At 42.2% G+C, this 17,301-nt stretch overlaps 1 annotated feature.

Moving 5' to 3' along the window:
- Positions 11,969–12,173: a silencer, noted in NCBI's record as "fragment chr15:45098626-45098830 (GRCh37/hg19 assembly coordinates)". NCBI's record gives its function as "represses an EF-1alpha promoter that drives an FKBP-Casp9 reporter gene in an ReSE screen in phorbol 12-myristate 13-acetate-treated (for megakaryocytic differentiation) K562 erythroleukemia cells {active_cell/tissue: K562(+PMA)}" and the evidence as "EXISTENCE:reporter gene assay evidence [ECO:0000049][PMID:32094911]".

Here is a 17,301-nt window from a genome sequence, read left to right as displayed (position 1 = left end):
GGACATCAAACTATTAATAGTAGTTAGCTCTGGAAGAAAGGACTTTGCGGTTTTGTGTTGTTTGCCCAGCGGGATGGTTGGGGACAAGAGGACTTTCATTTTTTACTGTATAAATTCCTCTATAATTTGAAAAATTTTAAAAAAGCATGTTCATGTGTCATTTTTGTAAGTTAAGAAAAACTAATAAGAATGTCACACCTTGCTGTGGCTTTCAGGCTCAGCTGCAACATTTTCATTCCAGAAAGCCCTTGACTGCAGCAATTTCCTAGGAGCAGTGGAAGGCAGGGAAGCACCCACTCACCACTACAAGCCTAGCAGACCCCTGGGCAGCCTGGGCAGGGCGATCTGTGATACCATAGCCCGTGTAGGTTTGTTATGAGGCCTCAAGGACCGTGGGAGGACAGTTAAACAGATCCCGAAAGCACTGGTTCCGAAAAGCCAGCTGCTTCCTTTCACTGGCACTCGGTCTTTTAACTAACCACCTACTTTATCTGATGGTCAGCGGAGTAACAGTAGGGCAGTCCTTGACACCTCCTTTTAGGTTGTGTGCCTGTATTTTTGGTTTTAGCCGTGTTTTGTGGACGCTGAGTCACTGAGTTTTGTTTTCGAATCAAGATTACGAGCCTTCCACTTTTCTGAGGAGTTCATCTGGTTTATGGCTGTGACTATGATGCCTGCACGTCCATCCTGCCTTGGATGTACCTTTATTACTTCCTTCATTTGCTTTCTTTCCCTCTGTATCACCCCCTGTGATTTCTGTAGAGGACTTTGTTTCCTGGGTCCTTTTAAATTAGGTCAGAAGGAAACATTATTTTATCTTTCTAGTTTTTAAACTGGATTTACCTTAAGAAGCTTTAACAGACTATTTTTTTGGCCGGGTGCAGTAGCTCACACCTGTAATCCTACACTTTGGGAGGCCGAGGTGGGAGGATCACTTGAGGTCAGGAGTTCAAGACCAGCCTGGCCAACACGGTGAAACCCTGTCTCTACTAAAAATACAAAAAATTAGCCGGACGTGGTGGCGGGCACCTGTAGTCCCAGCTACTTGAGAGGCTGAGGCAGGAGAATGGCGTGAACCCGGGAGGCGGAGCTTGCAGTGAGCCAAGATTGCACTCCAGCCTGGGGGACAGAGCGAGACTCTGTCTCAAAAAAAAAAAAAAAAAAGAAAGAAAATCAACTGACTGAGGGAATTTAGAGGACAGGTCAATAGGTGCAGCAAACCACATGGCACACGTATACCTATGTAACAAACCTGCACATTCTGCACACGTATCCCAGAACTTAAAGTAAAAAAATAAAAATAAAAATAAATCCTTTTCTGCTTAAAATATATATAGAAAAGAAAATCAATTGACTGTTAACCAAAGGGTTTATGTCTAGACTCTAAATCTTATCTGATTGAACTATGTGACATCTTCGTGGCAGTACCAGGCTATACTGATTACTATAGCTTTGTAGAAACTTTTGAAACTGGCTCCACCTAATTTGTTCTTTTTAACGGTTGTTTTGGCTACTCTAAGTCCCTTGACTTTTAGGATCAGTTACTCAATTTCTGCAAAGAAGTCATCTGGGACTTTAATGAAGATTACATTGAATCTTGTAGATCAATTTTGGGAATATTTATTATCATCTTAGACAAATAGTCTTCTAATCTGTGAACATGGCATGTCTTTCCATTTATTTATGACTTTTTCAGTTTCTTTCAACAGTACTTTTTAGCTTTCAGAGTATAAGATTTACACTTTTTGTTAAATGTATTAAGTATTTTTCTTTTTGATGCTATTGTAAATGAAATTGCTTCTTTATTTCATTTTTGATTGCTCATTGTAAGTGTATAGAGATAGAATTGATCATTGTGTATTGATTTTTTGGTTCTGCCTACTTAAATGTAGTAGTTTCTTAGTGAATTATTTAGGATTTTTTGTATATAAATCATGCCATCTGCAAGTAGAGACAATTTTAATTTTCCTGTCCCAATATGGATGTCTTTTAATTTTTCATCTAATTACACTGGCTCTGACTTTCAGTACAATGTTAGACAGATGTTGTAGCAGATTTTTTTAAATTTTTTTTTTTGAGACGGAGTCTTGCTCTGTCACCCAGGCTGGAGTGCAGTGGCGCCATCTCGCTTCACTGCAAGCTCCACATCCCAGGTTCACGCCATTCTCCTGCCTCAGCCTCCCGAGTAGCTGGGACTACAGGTGCCCGCCATCACGCCCAGCTAATTTTTTTGTATTTTTAGTAGAGACGGGGTTTCACCGTGTTAGCCAGGATGGTTTTGATCTCCTGACCTCGTGATCCGCCCGCCTCGGCCTCCCAAAGTGCTGGGATTACAGGCGTGAGCCACCGCGCCTGGCCAACTAGCAGTCCCAGTGTTGGCTGCCGCCCCTCCCGCAAGAAGCTCAGATGGCTTAGACAGCAGGCAGCCACAGCTGTGGTGATGGCTGCCCCTCTGCCCGGGAATGCAACAGGCTTAGATAGATTCTAGCTGTTGAGAATTTGTGCGGCTCCGTGGTTGGGATCCTAGGCCATGGTAGTATGGGGTCACAAGTGGGATATTCTGATCTGTGGGTTGCACAGTTCCATGGAAAAAGCATGGCTTCCCAGGTTGCGTAGCACGCTCACTCACGGCCTCTCTTGGCTGGGGGCTCACCTCCCCCATGTAGCTTTCAGGTGGGCCACCTCACCACACTGCTATTCCTTCCTCTCCGTGGGTCACACCAGCCACCTAGTCAATCCTGATGATAGAACTTGGATAACCTCAGTTGCCAGTGCAAGATTTGGATGCTGTTTTGGTTCTTTTAGATGGGAGCCTTTGATTGCCACTGCTTCTAGTCAGTCATCTTGGCCACACCCCCAGTATTTTATTTATACCTTATAACAACTCTATTGCATGGACATTATTAGCTGACTGGTAAGGATACCTGGGTAACAGAGCTCCTTTTGATTTGACAATCTTTACTTCAGAGAGTCACTGGACCAGGCTATATTAGCTTGGGAAGGCTGAGAATGATGAATAAGGCTATGTTTATGTCCAAGTATATTGTACTGAGCTGGACACCAACTTTAGTTTTATCATAAATCGTATAGTCCCAAAAGTAATGGTGTGCAACTGACCCAAATGAGGGCATCCCAATATTTATTCAGGCTACCTAACATGCAGGGCAAGTCCACCCTTATTAACAGAGGGGGATAGTTGGGTGTCTAGAAAGTCTAATGTGATCCTCTCTCAAAGTTATCATTTGCAACTGTGGGTCTATTGTTGGGAATTTTATAACTCCTTTGGAGAGCAGCATTGACCTCTCTGCTGTATATTTTTACCACTCTGACTTCCTTCTGTACTTTTTCAATTAGTAAACCTTGTTTGATTTGCCCAAACTAAGGTCCGTGTTTGTTCCTTGAATCAATCTGCATTCTCCAGAGAAACAGAACCAATAGAACGTATATGCATGTATATATCCCTATATGTCTCTATGTATCTATGTATCTATCTGTCTATCTATCTATCTATCTATCTAGATTTACTATAAAGAATTGGCTCAGCTGGGTGCAGTGGCTCACACCTATAATCCCAGCACTTTGGGAGGCCAAGGCGGGTGGATCACGAGATCAGGAGATTGAGACCATCCTGGCTGACACAGTGAAACCCCATCTCTATTAAAAATACAAAAAAAAATTAGCTGGGCGTGGTGGCGGGTGCCTGTAGTCCCAGCTACTCGGGAGGCTGAGACAGGAGAATGACATGAACCCGGGAGGTGGAGCTTTCAGTGAGCCGAGATCGCGCCACTGCACTCCAGCCTGGGAGACAAAGCGAGACTCTGTCTCAAAAAAAAAAAAAAAAAAAAGAATTGGTTCATAATATGATTATGGAGGCTGAGAAGTCCAGACGCAAGAGGCTGATGGTATAGTTAAATTTTGAGACGAAAGGCCTGAGAACCAGGAAAGCTGATGCTGTAAGTTCCATTTCAAGTCTAACTCTGAAAACCAGGAGAGTCAATGGTGTAAGTTCCAGTCTGAGTCCATGTCTAAAGGCAGGAGAAGACCAATGTCCCAGCTTGAAGACAGTCAGAGACACAAAAAAATTCTTTCTTACTCATCCTTTTATTTTATTTAAGTTTTCATCAGGTTGGATGAGAGCTCAGTCTCCTGATTCAAATGTTACTATCATCCAGAAATGACATATTCAGAAAAAACATTTAACCAAATACCTGGGCATCTTTGTTGCCCGGTCAACTTGACTTACAAAATTAACTATCATATAGTTACCCTACTATTGACATTTACCAATTCAGTGGTTACCTATAGCTAACTGCTTTAGACCAGTGCTGGACCACCTTGAAGCTGGAGCTGGCGTCAGTGCCTGCCTAAACCACATAGCAGTTCTACAGTGGACCAGGGCTGAAATTGATGCTGAGGGAGGAGATCACAATGTCTACTCATTTTCATTATCTTTTCAACTTCTAATGGATATTTCCTTTGCTGTGGCAGAGATCATTATTGTCTTCCTTTAGCAAATGAGAGAACTGAGATCACACTTTTACATTTGGAATTATTTATCAGTCTAAAAGAGATTATTTGTTCACATAAAGAGCATTTGGAGGTGTGAGAAATGTAACTGAAGCCAGCATGCCATAAGAAAGTGGTTTGATCTGTGCCTCATGGAGACTCAGGGCTTCCCCAAGGTATCTGAGAGCTGAGATGGACAAGGAGTGGGTGAGGTTATGGATTCCCACCCTGCTTCAATCACGGTGCTTCTTTCTGAGATGTTTCATATATATTGCAGTTATGCATGCAGAATTCCATTTAGATCTAAGCTGTCACCACACAGGTTGAAAACCACTACTCCATCCTAGCTCTACGATCTTAAAAACAAAAATCCCTTCCTTTTTTTAGTGCTCATTTCCCTTTACTTGTAAAATGAAGGTGTTGAACTACGAGTTCTTGAAGGTTCCTTCCATCTTTGACAGTTCATGATTTTGTGACTTTTACCATTGCCAAGGTGGAACTTATTAATTTCATGAAAACTGACTAAATGACTATCTCAGAAGTTATTAACTCAGCACAGCTTCCTCATCTTAGTGAGTTTTCAGCTGGCTAATGCCACCTGACAGTCAGAAAATGCCAACATTGCGGGTGTGGGGTGGAGTTAACAGTGTGAGATTTGCTAAGTGTTTCTACGCAATCATTGTGAAAGCAATCACATTTCCAGAGTGAGAAAGGTCAGTGCCATCTAGCTGCCAAACTTCACCACACTAAGGGGACATGAAGGGGACTGCCACCCGCAGAACACAAATCAGGCTAAAAAATGAATACCTTTTGCAGTTGCAGTCAAATAGCAACAAATGTCAAATGATATTACTTTGGGAGATTGTTAAGCCCCCTTCTCAGTGCACAGCAGTGTATAAATCCCCTCATCTCATTTGATTAATCTGAGAGACTATAGAATATGTTACTAGGACAGAAAACATGACTGCAATGTGATAGTCTAGTATTACTGAGCATGAAAATTCCTTTAAGTCCTGATCTTTTTTTCTAGTTCCACACTGTTTGAAAGTGGGGGAACATTGATCTTAGTGAATGAGTGTCCTATATAAATCAATGTTAGTGAGTATATATATAAGTGAAAAATATGATTTGTTTATACAGTGAACCAGAACCCCCCCTTCTACAGCATCAGAACTCTTTCTTTTACTCTCTCTTTTACAACCTGTAACTTGGCAGGAAGGAGATATAATACTAGCCATGTTTATCTCTAGCTGGTAAGATTACAAGTGATTTTTAACATTCTGTTATATCTTATACTTTTTTATAGTGGGCACATATTATAACAAGAATTACCTTTATTCATGTAAAAGTGATCCCTTTCCCCAGAAAGATCCCTGAGAATACTTTTTCTCCCATCCTAAAATGGAGGAATGTACCTGAAATGCCATGTGAAATAGATTAACTGAGCCCTGCCTAGGAAACATGCCGCTTCTTCTTTTTCAAGACCTGCAGTCATTGTGGCCTGACAAGCAGTAAGAAATGTGATAATAAAGAGGATGAGCCACTGCAGGGCTGGATTTCATTTCTAGCTTAATTAAATCCTAGAAACACACCTGAACTCTAGCTTTGATGAGCTGCTGCCAAAGCCAGGTGCCCTCATCAACTCGGGCTCACCCTGCAGTGATTGTGGGAAGCCAGCCTGAAAGGAGAGGGTAGAGGGAAGCAGAAGCCAATGGAGATGAAACAGTGGAGTCAGGAAGCAATATTTCAGAGAGAGCGATTTTATCTGGTAGACTATCTGTTTGCCCTTCTGCTTAAAAGGTAAACAGCAACGCTAACCTACAAATATACTGAATTGAAACTCCTCCAATGGCACCCCACTGCCCTGCCACCTGTCCCCTTCCACCACCTCCTCTCCAGCTCCCTGCCCCCACCAGTTGTGGTAAATTGGGTACAAAGTGCACTTGGTTGGCACAAGTCCTGACTGGCCCATCAGTAGGCGTGGGCTGATTGGCGCCTCCTGCATTTACAAACTCCTAGTTGCTCTAGTCCCTCAGCTGCTGCTGACACCTGATGGTGCTACCTGGGGTCTCTTTGTTTCATATCCCAGAGACCAGAAATTCTCTTGAAATGTAAAGAAGAAAAAAAATCCTTGCCATGATTTATTGAACCCAGAATTATACAAGGAACTTAAAACTACATCACCTTGTTTTCACAGCCACTTGTGATGTATTATCAGGGTTTTACAGGTGAGGAAATGCAGCTCCAGAAGAGCTTCTTAGGTAACTGGCTTATATCCAAGAGCTTGACACAAGGATCTGGGTTTATGGGATTTTTTGAGGGGGTGCTATCAAAAGAAACCTCCAGGGAGGCATGGGGTGGGAGAGAAAAGGGGAAGGGTGAGCAGGGGTTTGGTCTCTGATATGGTTTGACTGTGTCCCCATCCAAATCTCATCTTGAATTATAATTCCCATCATCCCCACGTGTCAGAGGCAGGACCAGGTGGAGGTCATTGGATCATGGGCGTGGTTTCTCCCATCCTGTTCTCGTGATAGTGAGTAAGTCTCATGAGATCTGTTGGTTTTATAAGCACTTGGCAGTTCTGCTGCTTGCACTTACTCTGTCCTGCCACCCTGTGAGGAAGGTGCCTGCTTCTTCTTCACCTTCTGCCATGACTGGAGGTTTTCTGAGGCTTCCCCAGCAATGTGGAACTGTGAGCCAATTAAGCCTCTTTTATTTATAAATTACCCAGTCTCAGGTATTTCTTCATAGCAGTGTGAGAACAAACTAATACAGTCTCAGTATGCGATGGAGTGCCCAGATTTGGGGGTCCAGGGAAGGTTTCCATCTGAGAAGGGGTCAACCAGTATTGAGAGTGTATCACTGAGCAGAAAGTACCATCCTTTCCCCCACTACCATCTGTCAACAACTTCCTTGTCTTTCAAGAACCATCTCTTTTTTTTTTTTTTTTTTTTTTTTTGAGATGGAGTCTCGCTGTGTCGCCCAGGCTGGAGTGCAGTGGCGCGATCTCTGCTCACTGCAACCTCTGCATCCCGGGTTCATGCCATTCTCCTGCCTTAGCTTCCTGAGTAGCGGGGACTACAGGCGCCCGCCACCACGCCCGGCTAATTTTTTATATTTTTAGTAGAGACGGGGTTTCACCGTGTTAGCCAGGATGGTCTCGATCTCCTGACCTCGTGATCCACCCGCCTCGGCCTCCCAAAGTGCTGGGATTACAGGTGTAAACCACGCGCCCGGCCTCATATTTTATCTCCTATGAAGTCTCTTGACCCCAACCTGTGATGATGTCCTTTCCCGTTTGGTTTTCGAGCACTTTATACCTTCAAAATGGTTGCCTAATTTTTAGAAAATAAGAGCATATCTATCTTCTTGACTCAAATGTGAGCTTCTTGAGGGAAGAAATCTTGCCTTCTTTCATGTATAACACCCCTGCATTGTACACAATGCTTTGTCCATAGTAGGCTACGAACTAACATCTGTTGAGTTCAGTACTCCTTGAATTTGGGGAGCCTTTCCTGGTGCTATTACTTTGGTCAATCAGTCATTCAGCATTAATACAATGTCTATTTGTGAATAGCTCACGGGGCCCTGTGTTGGTGGCTGCCAGTTTCACCTCCTGACCACCTGTCCAAGAGTCTCAGAGTCCACGAAACAGCAACAGGAACGTGAACCTCGAGGTAATTCCAGCAGAGGTTTAGTTACTGGACCAGGAAGAAAGGCAGCTACACGGCGGCGGGGGTGGGGGGGGGGGGGTGGAGGGGACGTAGAAGAAACAGGTTTATTAGAATCAGGCGGCTTGAAGCACCACTCATTAGTCAGTTTGTGCAGCTATAAAATGGCACAAAGGTGCTGCCTGGCTGAACTTACGGAGCTATTGTTGAGAGTCAAAGGAGACAAGATAGGTTAACTCTACAGATTGTGCAGAGAAAATTAATACATGTTTATAACCAATGTTGGCTAAGAGGCAAGGATGGCAGGAAAAACGGCTTGGAATCCCTCCCTGATACTCAGGTGGCGTAATTTACCTTCACCTGTGTGTGGACTCAGACTTCAGTGCCTCAGGGGAAAAAAAGAGAAAAAGGAAAATCAGTGTTCCTTTCTCTTTGCCTCCTGACTTTAGGTATCTATGTATGCTATAATTAGGGCCCCAGATTACATCTCCAATTTCAGAAAGTTTCCTGTTTAATTTTACAAGGACATACACACTTTACAATGCCTGACACCTGCTTAAGGAGGCAAATGATTGTTTTGACAGTGTGACAGTGGTAGAAAGTATATTAAAATATCGGAAACCTGCCAATGGGATAATTAGGATCTAATTCTCATTTGTCAGTGCAATGAGCTCTCCAGGCCGAATGACTCCCTGATGCTGTGCCAGACAGCTTTCCTGGTCCCCATGTGCTGGTGGAGATTTAGTTCCAAATAATTGTTGCATTCCTCATTGATGACTGATTTTCAACCTTTAATGATAATACCAATTATGTATTGGGTGTTTCACTTGTGGATTTCTTTGGGTGGGGATTTTACTACAACTCATTGCTTGAAAAATCACTTTAATTTAATAGTAGGGTTATTCAGAACTTCACTATCCAGAGTGACCCTGTGGCTGACCCAAGGCTGTGGGGCATAGGGCACAGAACTGGTACTCCTCTTCTGGGAAAAGGTGGCTAGGGAAGGAGGGATGGCCTAAGACACTGAATCCAATGAAGCAGATAAAGAGCAAATCCAGGACATGAGGCAAAGGATCAGTAAGAGAAGTGGCCAGAAGCACCATCTTGTTTCTTTGGGTCAGATTTAGCAGAGATCTTGGAAATTCTGGGGGCAGAGAAGATGGTGTTGTTTCTTTCTTGGACTGCCGGGGCTGCACTGCTGAACCATAAACTTGGGCGCTGTTAAGATGCTCAAGCCAGGCAGCCTTCCGCAGCCTTCCACATCCCTAGACTTGCTCAGGGTCTCCAAAGAACATCTGTTATGTTTCTATCATCTTGTGGATGAGGAAACTGAGAATCAGATTAGTGAAGTGGCCTGTTCCAGCTCACACAGCTCAAAAATATTCAGTCCAGGCAAAGTTTACTCTGCTGGATCTTCCAGGTGACACAGAAAAATGCTCCAGTGTCTAGTCAGCTGCCAAAAACCTTTTTTCACATCCTACTCAGACTTGTGATTAGATGAATATTGAAATGTCTTTAAGATCTATAATTTCTTTTTCAAGGGGTATGTCTTAAATCTTGTCTACCCACGTGGACTAAATTGATCATTGACACAGAAGGCTGGATTTTATTCTTGTTCATTTTACAGATGAGGAAACAGATCCCAAGAGGTGAAAGTGGCCTGCTTAACGTCACATGACTGGTAACTGATTCAGTGCAGTCGAGAACTATGAATTGGTCCATGCGTGTATGATTATACTGGACTTTCTAGGTACACAGAGGGAGTTAATGAAGGCATTTGTAAGCCACTTAGGGAGGCAAGGTTTTGTTAGCTACTCCTCTCCTATCAGGCAGAGGCTGGTACCTAGGAGAGGGGGTAATGGAGGGCTGAGCTATCTCTTTCCTGGGTCCTGGGATTGCACTATGTGGAACAGGTAGACACAAGGGGAAACTGCTCTGAAGGTGACAGAAACATCAGAGTTAAGACAGTAACAAATGAGAGGTTGTCCAAGGGGCAGAGGAAGAACAGAAGCCAGGTGAAATGTTTATACACACAGAAATTTAAATGCAAACAGTGCAGAAGCACATACAATGAAAATCAACTGTTCCTTGTCCCATCCCTTTTCTCCTCTGACCCACTTCCCACAGATGAGCCCTTTCTGCTTTTAATTCTTCCAGTGGTTACCTATATAATTCTAAATAGTATGTGAAATCTTTGTTTCTCCAATTATTAATTTTAAACATCAGTTATAGACTCCCTGTTATGAGTGATAAAGAACTGTCTTCTCCCATTTTCTCTTCCCTCATCCTATTTTTTATATTATTAGTTCGGGTTCTTCTATTGGTATGTTAATAGTTGTAAAAAGTATACATCAAATGCTACATCTTGATCCATTAACTTGAAACAAATTTGATTTGCTGCTATGAGAAATGTAAGATGAAATTAGAAGCCCTGAATTTTCACTTTTCCTCTTACCAATTCTCAAAGTCTTCCAACAACATCATTAAACATCATCAAGGTTTATTACTTTTTCATTCTATTTTATAAATATGCTTTGCCTGTAGCTTGAATTCAAAAATCAAGCACCAATGCAAGTCATTAGCAATATAATGATTATATATTATTCACCCCAAGACCAAATAGAGTGACTTGCCCTTCTGAGATGAGAAATAGCACAGAGCATGTGCAGCTTACAGCCAATGCTTTCTCAACACCCAAACTTATTTCAGTTTGCTTCAGCATCTCAAAAACATGACATATGAATTTGCTTCATATTTGTAGCTTTTTGTATAGATTTTGTTTTTGTCCAAAGTTTCTAATTTTCTTTCATTTTTCTTATGGAAAAGAAACAAATTCTTCACCATTTTACAAAGATGTTCCTGCTTCATCACATTACCTATCAAATTGGAATCTACTTTTTTTTTTTTTTTTTTTTTTTTTTTTTTTTTTGAGATGTAGTCTCGCTCTGTCACCCAGGCTGGAATACAATGGCATGATCTCAGCTCACTGCAACCTCCGCCTCCTGGGTTCAAATGATTCTCCTGCCTCAGCCTCCCCAGTAGCTGTGATTACAAGTGCCTGCCACCATGCCCAGCTAGTTTTTGTATTTTTAGTAGAGGCGGGGTTTCACCATGTTGGCCAGACAGATCTCGAACTCCTGACCTCATGATCTGCCCACCTCGGCCTCCCAAAGTGCTGGGATTACAGGCATGAACCACCGCGCCCGGCCCTGGAATCTACTTTTTAATGGAGACTTTTTTCTTGGAACTCGATCTAAATGTTGTTGGGGCTTTTTATTTGTCACAGCCAATTGCATAGTTCTGTCTCTGGTTTTTATTTTCAAAACTAGTCACTTTGGCCTACTGTTTTCATGGTTTCTGTTTTATTTGTTTTTGTTTTTCTTTTGGTCTCAAGTTTATCCTCAAGTATTTTTTTCCCCCTCAGGGTGTATAAGGAGACATCTCTGAGTCTCACATGATTTAATATTCAGCCTTCACATTTGAGTAACAAGTTTTTGTCTAAGACTAGAGATTTACGGTTACTTTTCCTCCAGAGCATTGAAGCCATTTGCTGCAGGTTGAGTTCTCCAGAAGTAGAGATGGAGTTTAGGGAACAAAATATTTATTAAGGATCAACACCTGTGAAAGGAAGGCGGCAACAGCAAGATTGGGCTGACTGAGCAGTTGAACTGAAACACAGGCTTGAAAATGCCTCAGCCGACATGGCAGGTGCTCTGGGTCATGGGTATGCATAATACCCATGGATATTATTTGCTGGGCAGAAATGGTTGAACCTTTATGCCCTCCTTCTCTCTGACACCAGATACAGGCTGCTCTGGGAAGGGAATGACCTTGGGAGAGGTGGCTGAAGCTGACCCTGAAGGAGCTGACAGCTGGAGGCTCTGCTCACTGTAGTCCATGCATCGGGTAGCAGGTGTTCCTTGAAAGGGGATCAAGGTAGTGCATCTCTATGTCTACCATAGCAATGATCCATGGTATTCTTATAAAAATCCGTTTTTTAAATTTTTCGCTTTCTCTATAAGATTTAGGACACTTTATTTTCCCTTGGCGGTAGGGTTGCTGTTATGACATATTTATGTGGAGTACAAAAAGTGTCCTTGCTCTAGGTGGGTGCAGCTCTGCACCAGAGAGCCTGGCTTGGTAAGTGTGGGTTGGATTTGATCTCCACTCAACCCTTTGGCTGGGAGCTTTTGCGCAGAGTAAAGCCTGTACATCCAGAGGCATAGCCCTGCTTGGTGTGCTCATGGTTTATGAGGATGTGTCCTTCTCATTTTGCTCAGCATTTGGTGGGCCTGGGCCTTTCATCCCAAGTGTTTGGGACCTTAGTTCTGGGAAATTTCCTTCTTTCCTTCTTGCTGTCTGTAAGTTCTGTGGGTCATAGCAGTTAACAGGTTTCACTTAAAGGCATGAGGCAGAGTATGTACACAAGTGAGGTTACTCTCTCAATACAGCTTCCTCATCCTGTTTTATCTGTCGATATGATTCCATATGTTTTCTCTCTCCCATTACTTTGCTAAACTTTCAGATCTGCTGGTGCTTCTTCTGTCCTCCCCATTGTCGGTGCTAATATGGATTTGTTCACTTTTTAACTTCTTTATTACAATCATTGGAATTTTAATGGGACTTTTAATGGAATGTTGTAGAGAGATAACTCCATGCATTCAATCTTCTATTCTGAACAGAATGCTCGTCTGGTATTACTGGTATTATGAATAACAGTTGATTGAAAACAGCAATGGCTTGAGGTCTTTTGTCAGTTTCGGCTTTAGAAGTGGTGTTCTAACTGGAAAGAGGTGAGAGGAAATGTATTTTGAAACTCTTCGCTTGTAGTAGGTTCACTGTTTTTATTTAGGGTATATGAGTACTTGACACGCATGACTTGAGGGTTATTGGAGGCTATGGAAGGTCAAAAGTCACTCATCCCAAGGTGCCACTATTGTTTAGAAGAGATTTTACTGAGTCAACAATTGTTAGATGGATGCTGGCCTCCTTAAAGATGGCTCATCTCTCTTGAGGAAGGGGTTAGGGAAGAATGGAAAGACAAGTAATTTTCTTCATTTTTATTTAACTGTTTTCACAGAGACAACACTGTACAGACAACGAAATGTGTTTTATGCCAGATTTCTCATGCAACATGCCCCGGTAAATACACATACAAGTTATTTCTAGCAACATCCTGAAATTAGACCCTTAAAATGGCTCTTTCTCCCTTCCTTTCATAAAGGCACTTGTTATGGACAGAATTGTGTTCCTATAAAATTTATATGTTGAAGCCCTGACTGACTTGGAGACAGAGCCTTTACAGTGATAATTAAGATTAAATGAGGTCATCAGGATGAGGCTCGAATCCATTAGGACTAGTGTCTTTATAAGAGGAGAAAGACATGAGAAACCACCAAAGGCTACTCAGCTGCATGCAGGCAGAACGTGAAAAGTATGATGGCGTTAACTTCCCTGAGAGCAAACCTCATCTCAACCACTCTGGCCTCCCATTCCCCCAGTGGAACAGTGCTGAGATGAGTTCCATGTGGTTTCATAGCAGGCCCCTGGTACATTGAGCCCTTGTTGCCTACAGTGGTAAACAACTCAGAAATGTACTCTTTGCTGGCTTTTCTTCCTTCTCTGTCTTATTTTCACTACTCCCTCAATTTCACATCCTCTCAAATAAACCACCTGCACTCAAGTCTTTGCCTCAGCTCTGCCTTTGGGGGAATCTGAACTCAGCACTCTTGCTGAAAGTAAGCTGTGCTTTAGTCCACAGTCTTCTCTCCACCTGTTCACCGTTCCACCCTCCACCCTGTAGGGAACACTCCTATCCATCTTTTCAGTCCCTTGGTGAACACTTCTGTTGTTTTCCTAAGTAACCAGTATAAATCCTTCTTTGTCATCCTCGTTGCACTTCCATGTATTGTTCCTCTTATCTCACTGTCCTGAGATTGTTTTCATCTCTGCCTTCCCCTGGGATTTCTGAATCAGCATCAAAGAATCCTGGAAGTACCTAACAGGACATGTAACTGCCCCTAAGTCATGAGCTCCTGTTGGTAGAAACTATAACTTGTTTGTTTTTGAATCTCAATACTATTTCACACCATATTGGCATAGAGGACCCAATAGATGATAGTTGGACAGAAGTAAAGTCACTCTGCAGGGCAGAGGCACAAGCTCAGAGAGAATTTATTTCCTCCCCATCTTTTCTCCTGGAAGTCCTCCTTCTCACAGTGTTCCTGCTCCCTGGCACTGAGCTGAGGTATGCAACGAAACCCATGGGACCTGTCTGTATAATGGAGATGCATACACCCTCCAGGCCTTTGCACATAGGCTAGGTCCCTGTAGCACATCTGGAGGACAGGGTCACTGAGGCCTGGCTTAATTTAGCTGAGCCACTCCAGGAGGAATAATGGTAGCACTGAAAGTCTACTTTTCTGCCCATTCTGTTAACATCCTGCTGGCCTGCTTTCTGGGGCTCTTGACTTTGTAGCAACCAAAAGACCTTTTCAGAGACTTGGGGCCTGATCAAGACCATTGAGCAAATCCTCCTTCCCTTTACCAGTGGAGCAATCAGAAGGGTGAAGGGCCTGGAAGAGCAATAGAGCATCAAGCCAATTGGAGTTCAATTACTGGCCCTGCCATGTAATGGCAGAATAAGCTTGGGGTCGTCATTTAACTTCTTTAACACTCAATTTTTTTTTCCACCAGTGAAAGGAGAACAAGAAAACTTATAGCATCATTGTGATGGTTAAAGTAACATATTTAAAATGTCTTTCATGGGGATTTCAATCTTTTATTGACCATATTTGTTGGCAGTCTAGTGAAGGCTATGGGCTCCTAGAACAAGTACTTGAAACTCATAAAACAAAATATGTGGAATTACAAAGGTAACACTATAATACATTTATCAAAATGTTTTTTTAAAATGTGTGTTAGAATGTAATATGTTTCTTTGTTCATGTATTAAAAATTAAGAGATTAAGCTGAGGGTCTGATAACTACGATAATTTTGAGGTAAAGAAGCACATAAATGATATTTTGATTTACCTGCCAAACTGTAACACTGTACATGAAAATATCTCATTTCTATTGTTGGCAAAATCACATTGTGGGTTTATAACCTACATTTGTAAATGAAGAAAATGCCAACTACTTGTTAAAGAGTGAAAATAAAGATGAATTTTATTCCTTCCAAGTTGATGGAACCCTGAACCTCTTGCTTAATGAAAAAACAAACACTTGATAGTAGTTAATTCCCTTTCTTCTAATTTTCTCTTTCTGATGCCTCCTCTTATATACTGTTTTCAAATTTTTTTACGTCTTCCTAACCAAACATGACCCGAGGAAAGGGTCTGACATCAGACATTTGGCCTATGGGGTGGATAAGTGTGTATTTCCTTGCTTTCCTTCTCAAGAGCTTTCCTCATTGTGAAAGAAGCGGAAGGAATTTCAGCATAGGAGCAAGGTGGACCTCCCCAGCCCCCAGGAAAAAAAGTCATATCACAAAGGGAGCAGATGAAATACTTTCCCAAACTTCGGGCTAGTGTCAAGGATCAGCTGTCGACTTGATTTCTAACCACTATCCTGGGTGGCTTGCCTTTCTCCTGAGTGATCAGGGTACAGAAGCCCGGAGAAACAGGACTCTGCTCCTTTTGGTCCTGCTTTGGTTCCTGCTCTGTTCCTGCTGTATTAGGGTGAAAGCCCATTGAGTGTGTCTCTTCCCAACTCTGTTCCATGATGTCTTATTTGTAACTTGAAACAAGCGTGGTGGGAGCATTTACACCATGGAAATTGGCACATGATACACATCAAGGCTTCTCACCTCTAATTAAAATCTTTCCTGCATCTCAGTGGAAAGCCAGTTGTGAGACATTTGTCAGTGCATCACTGCCTGTACCTTCTGCTTCCTGTTTGGTAATTCTGCTTTGACAAAATTGGTCATTCTTTCTGTTTACCACTCTCTGGTGCATGCACATTTTTGTATCCCCAGAAAGGGACTTTCTATACTTCTAGTGTTCCCTGATTTTGCACTGGAGTCAGCAGATGACAACAATTTTTCTCTTTGCCAAAACCTAAAAGAAGGACCCCACTTCCCTGCTTGGTGAGAGGGTTTTCCTTGTTCATGGTTTTCTGTCATTGAGGCTAAACAAGCAGGAGCCATTATAACTTGTGATAAGAAACCATAAAAAGTACAGGTGATTTAGGATAAATGCATCTGACAGGGGTGTCAAGCAGGAGTCAGCAACTTTCTCTAAAAGGGCCAGATAGTACATACTTTAGGCTTTGCAAAAGACACAAAATGATATTATGTAGGTGCTTATATAACTGTTTAAAACATAACCATGTAAAACTATTCTTAGCTTATCAACTATGAATAAACAGGCATTGGTCTATGAATAAACTGTTTGGCATTGGTCTGTGGGCTGCAGTTTTCTGATTGCAGTGGAAGTCTGACTGTTGTGGAAGACTGACCTGGGGGATGAGCAGTAAGGCAAGGTGGTCAGGTAGGAGGGTGGTAGATAAAAAAGACCAGGACAAAGTCTTGGATGGTCACAGTGGGGAAGAAGGAAGGAGGAGGAAGAAACTAGAGGGAACTTAAATATCTGATTGGATATGATGGATAAGTGAAAGATGAAGCAAATGTGATCTGGAGAGCTGGCTGCAATTTGTAACGTTGTCTTTGGGATTCACAAACATATTAGGATATTAAAAGCTTTGAAAATTCCTGCAGCAAGTAAATCTGTCTGCTCAGTCCAGCATTTCTCAAAGTTATTTATATATTGTACCCTTCATTCATGGACTACCTACTAATGCCCCCAGTGAAGTAACGTATCATGGAATGTACTTTAGGTTTCATGGGCTTGCTCTATAGTTGCGTAATCCATGTTGTAAGAGTGTGTGTTCCTTGAAAAGAGAGTTAACAAATTTACCATTTGTGTGCGTGTTTGTGGGGGAGGGTTATGAAATATGAAATACAACTCCTGTGGAAGGTGGTATATTACAAATTAATGTAATCTGAATGGCTGGAAGAATTACGCAGAGATTCAACAGGCCAGATTGGTTTAATAGTTTTTAAGTTATGGATATAATTAATGAAAATTGAGAGTGCTAATAGTTGTTTTTAAACTATTTTAAA

This window comes from Homo sapiens, chromosome 15 (genome assembly GCF_000001405.40).
Source record: "Homo sapiens chromosome 15, GRCh38.p14 Primary Assembly".
NCBI lineage: Eukaryota > Metazoa > Chordata > Mammalia > Primates > Hominidae > Homo > Homo sapiens.
Note: the sequence above shows the minus strand (reverse complement) of the source record. Positions and strands in the feature narration are given on the sequence as shown.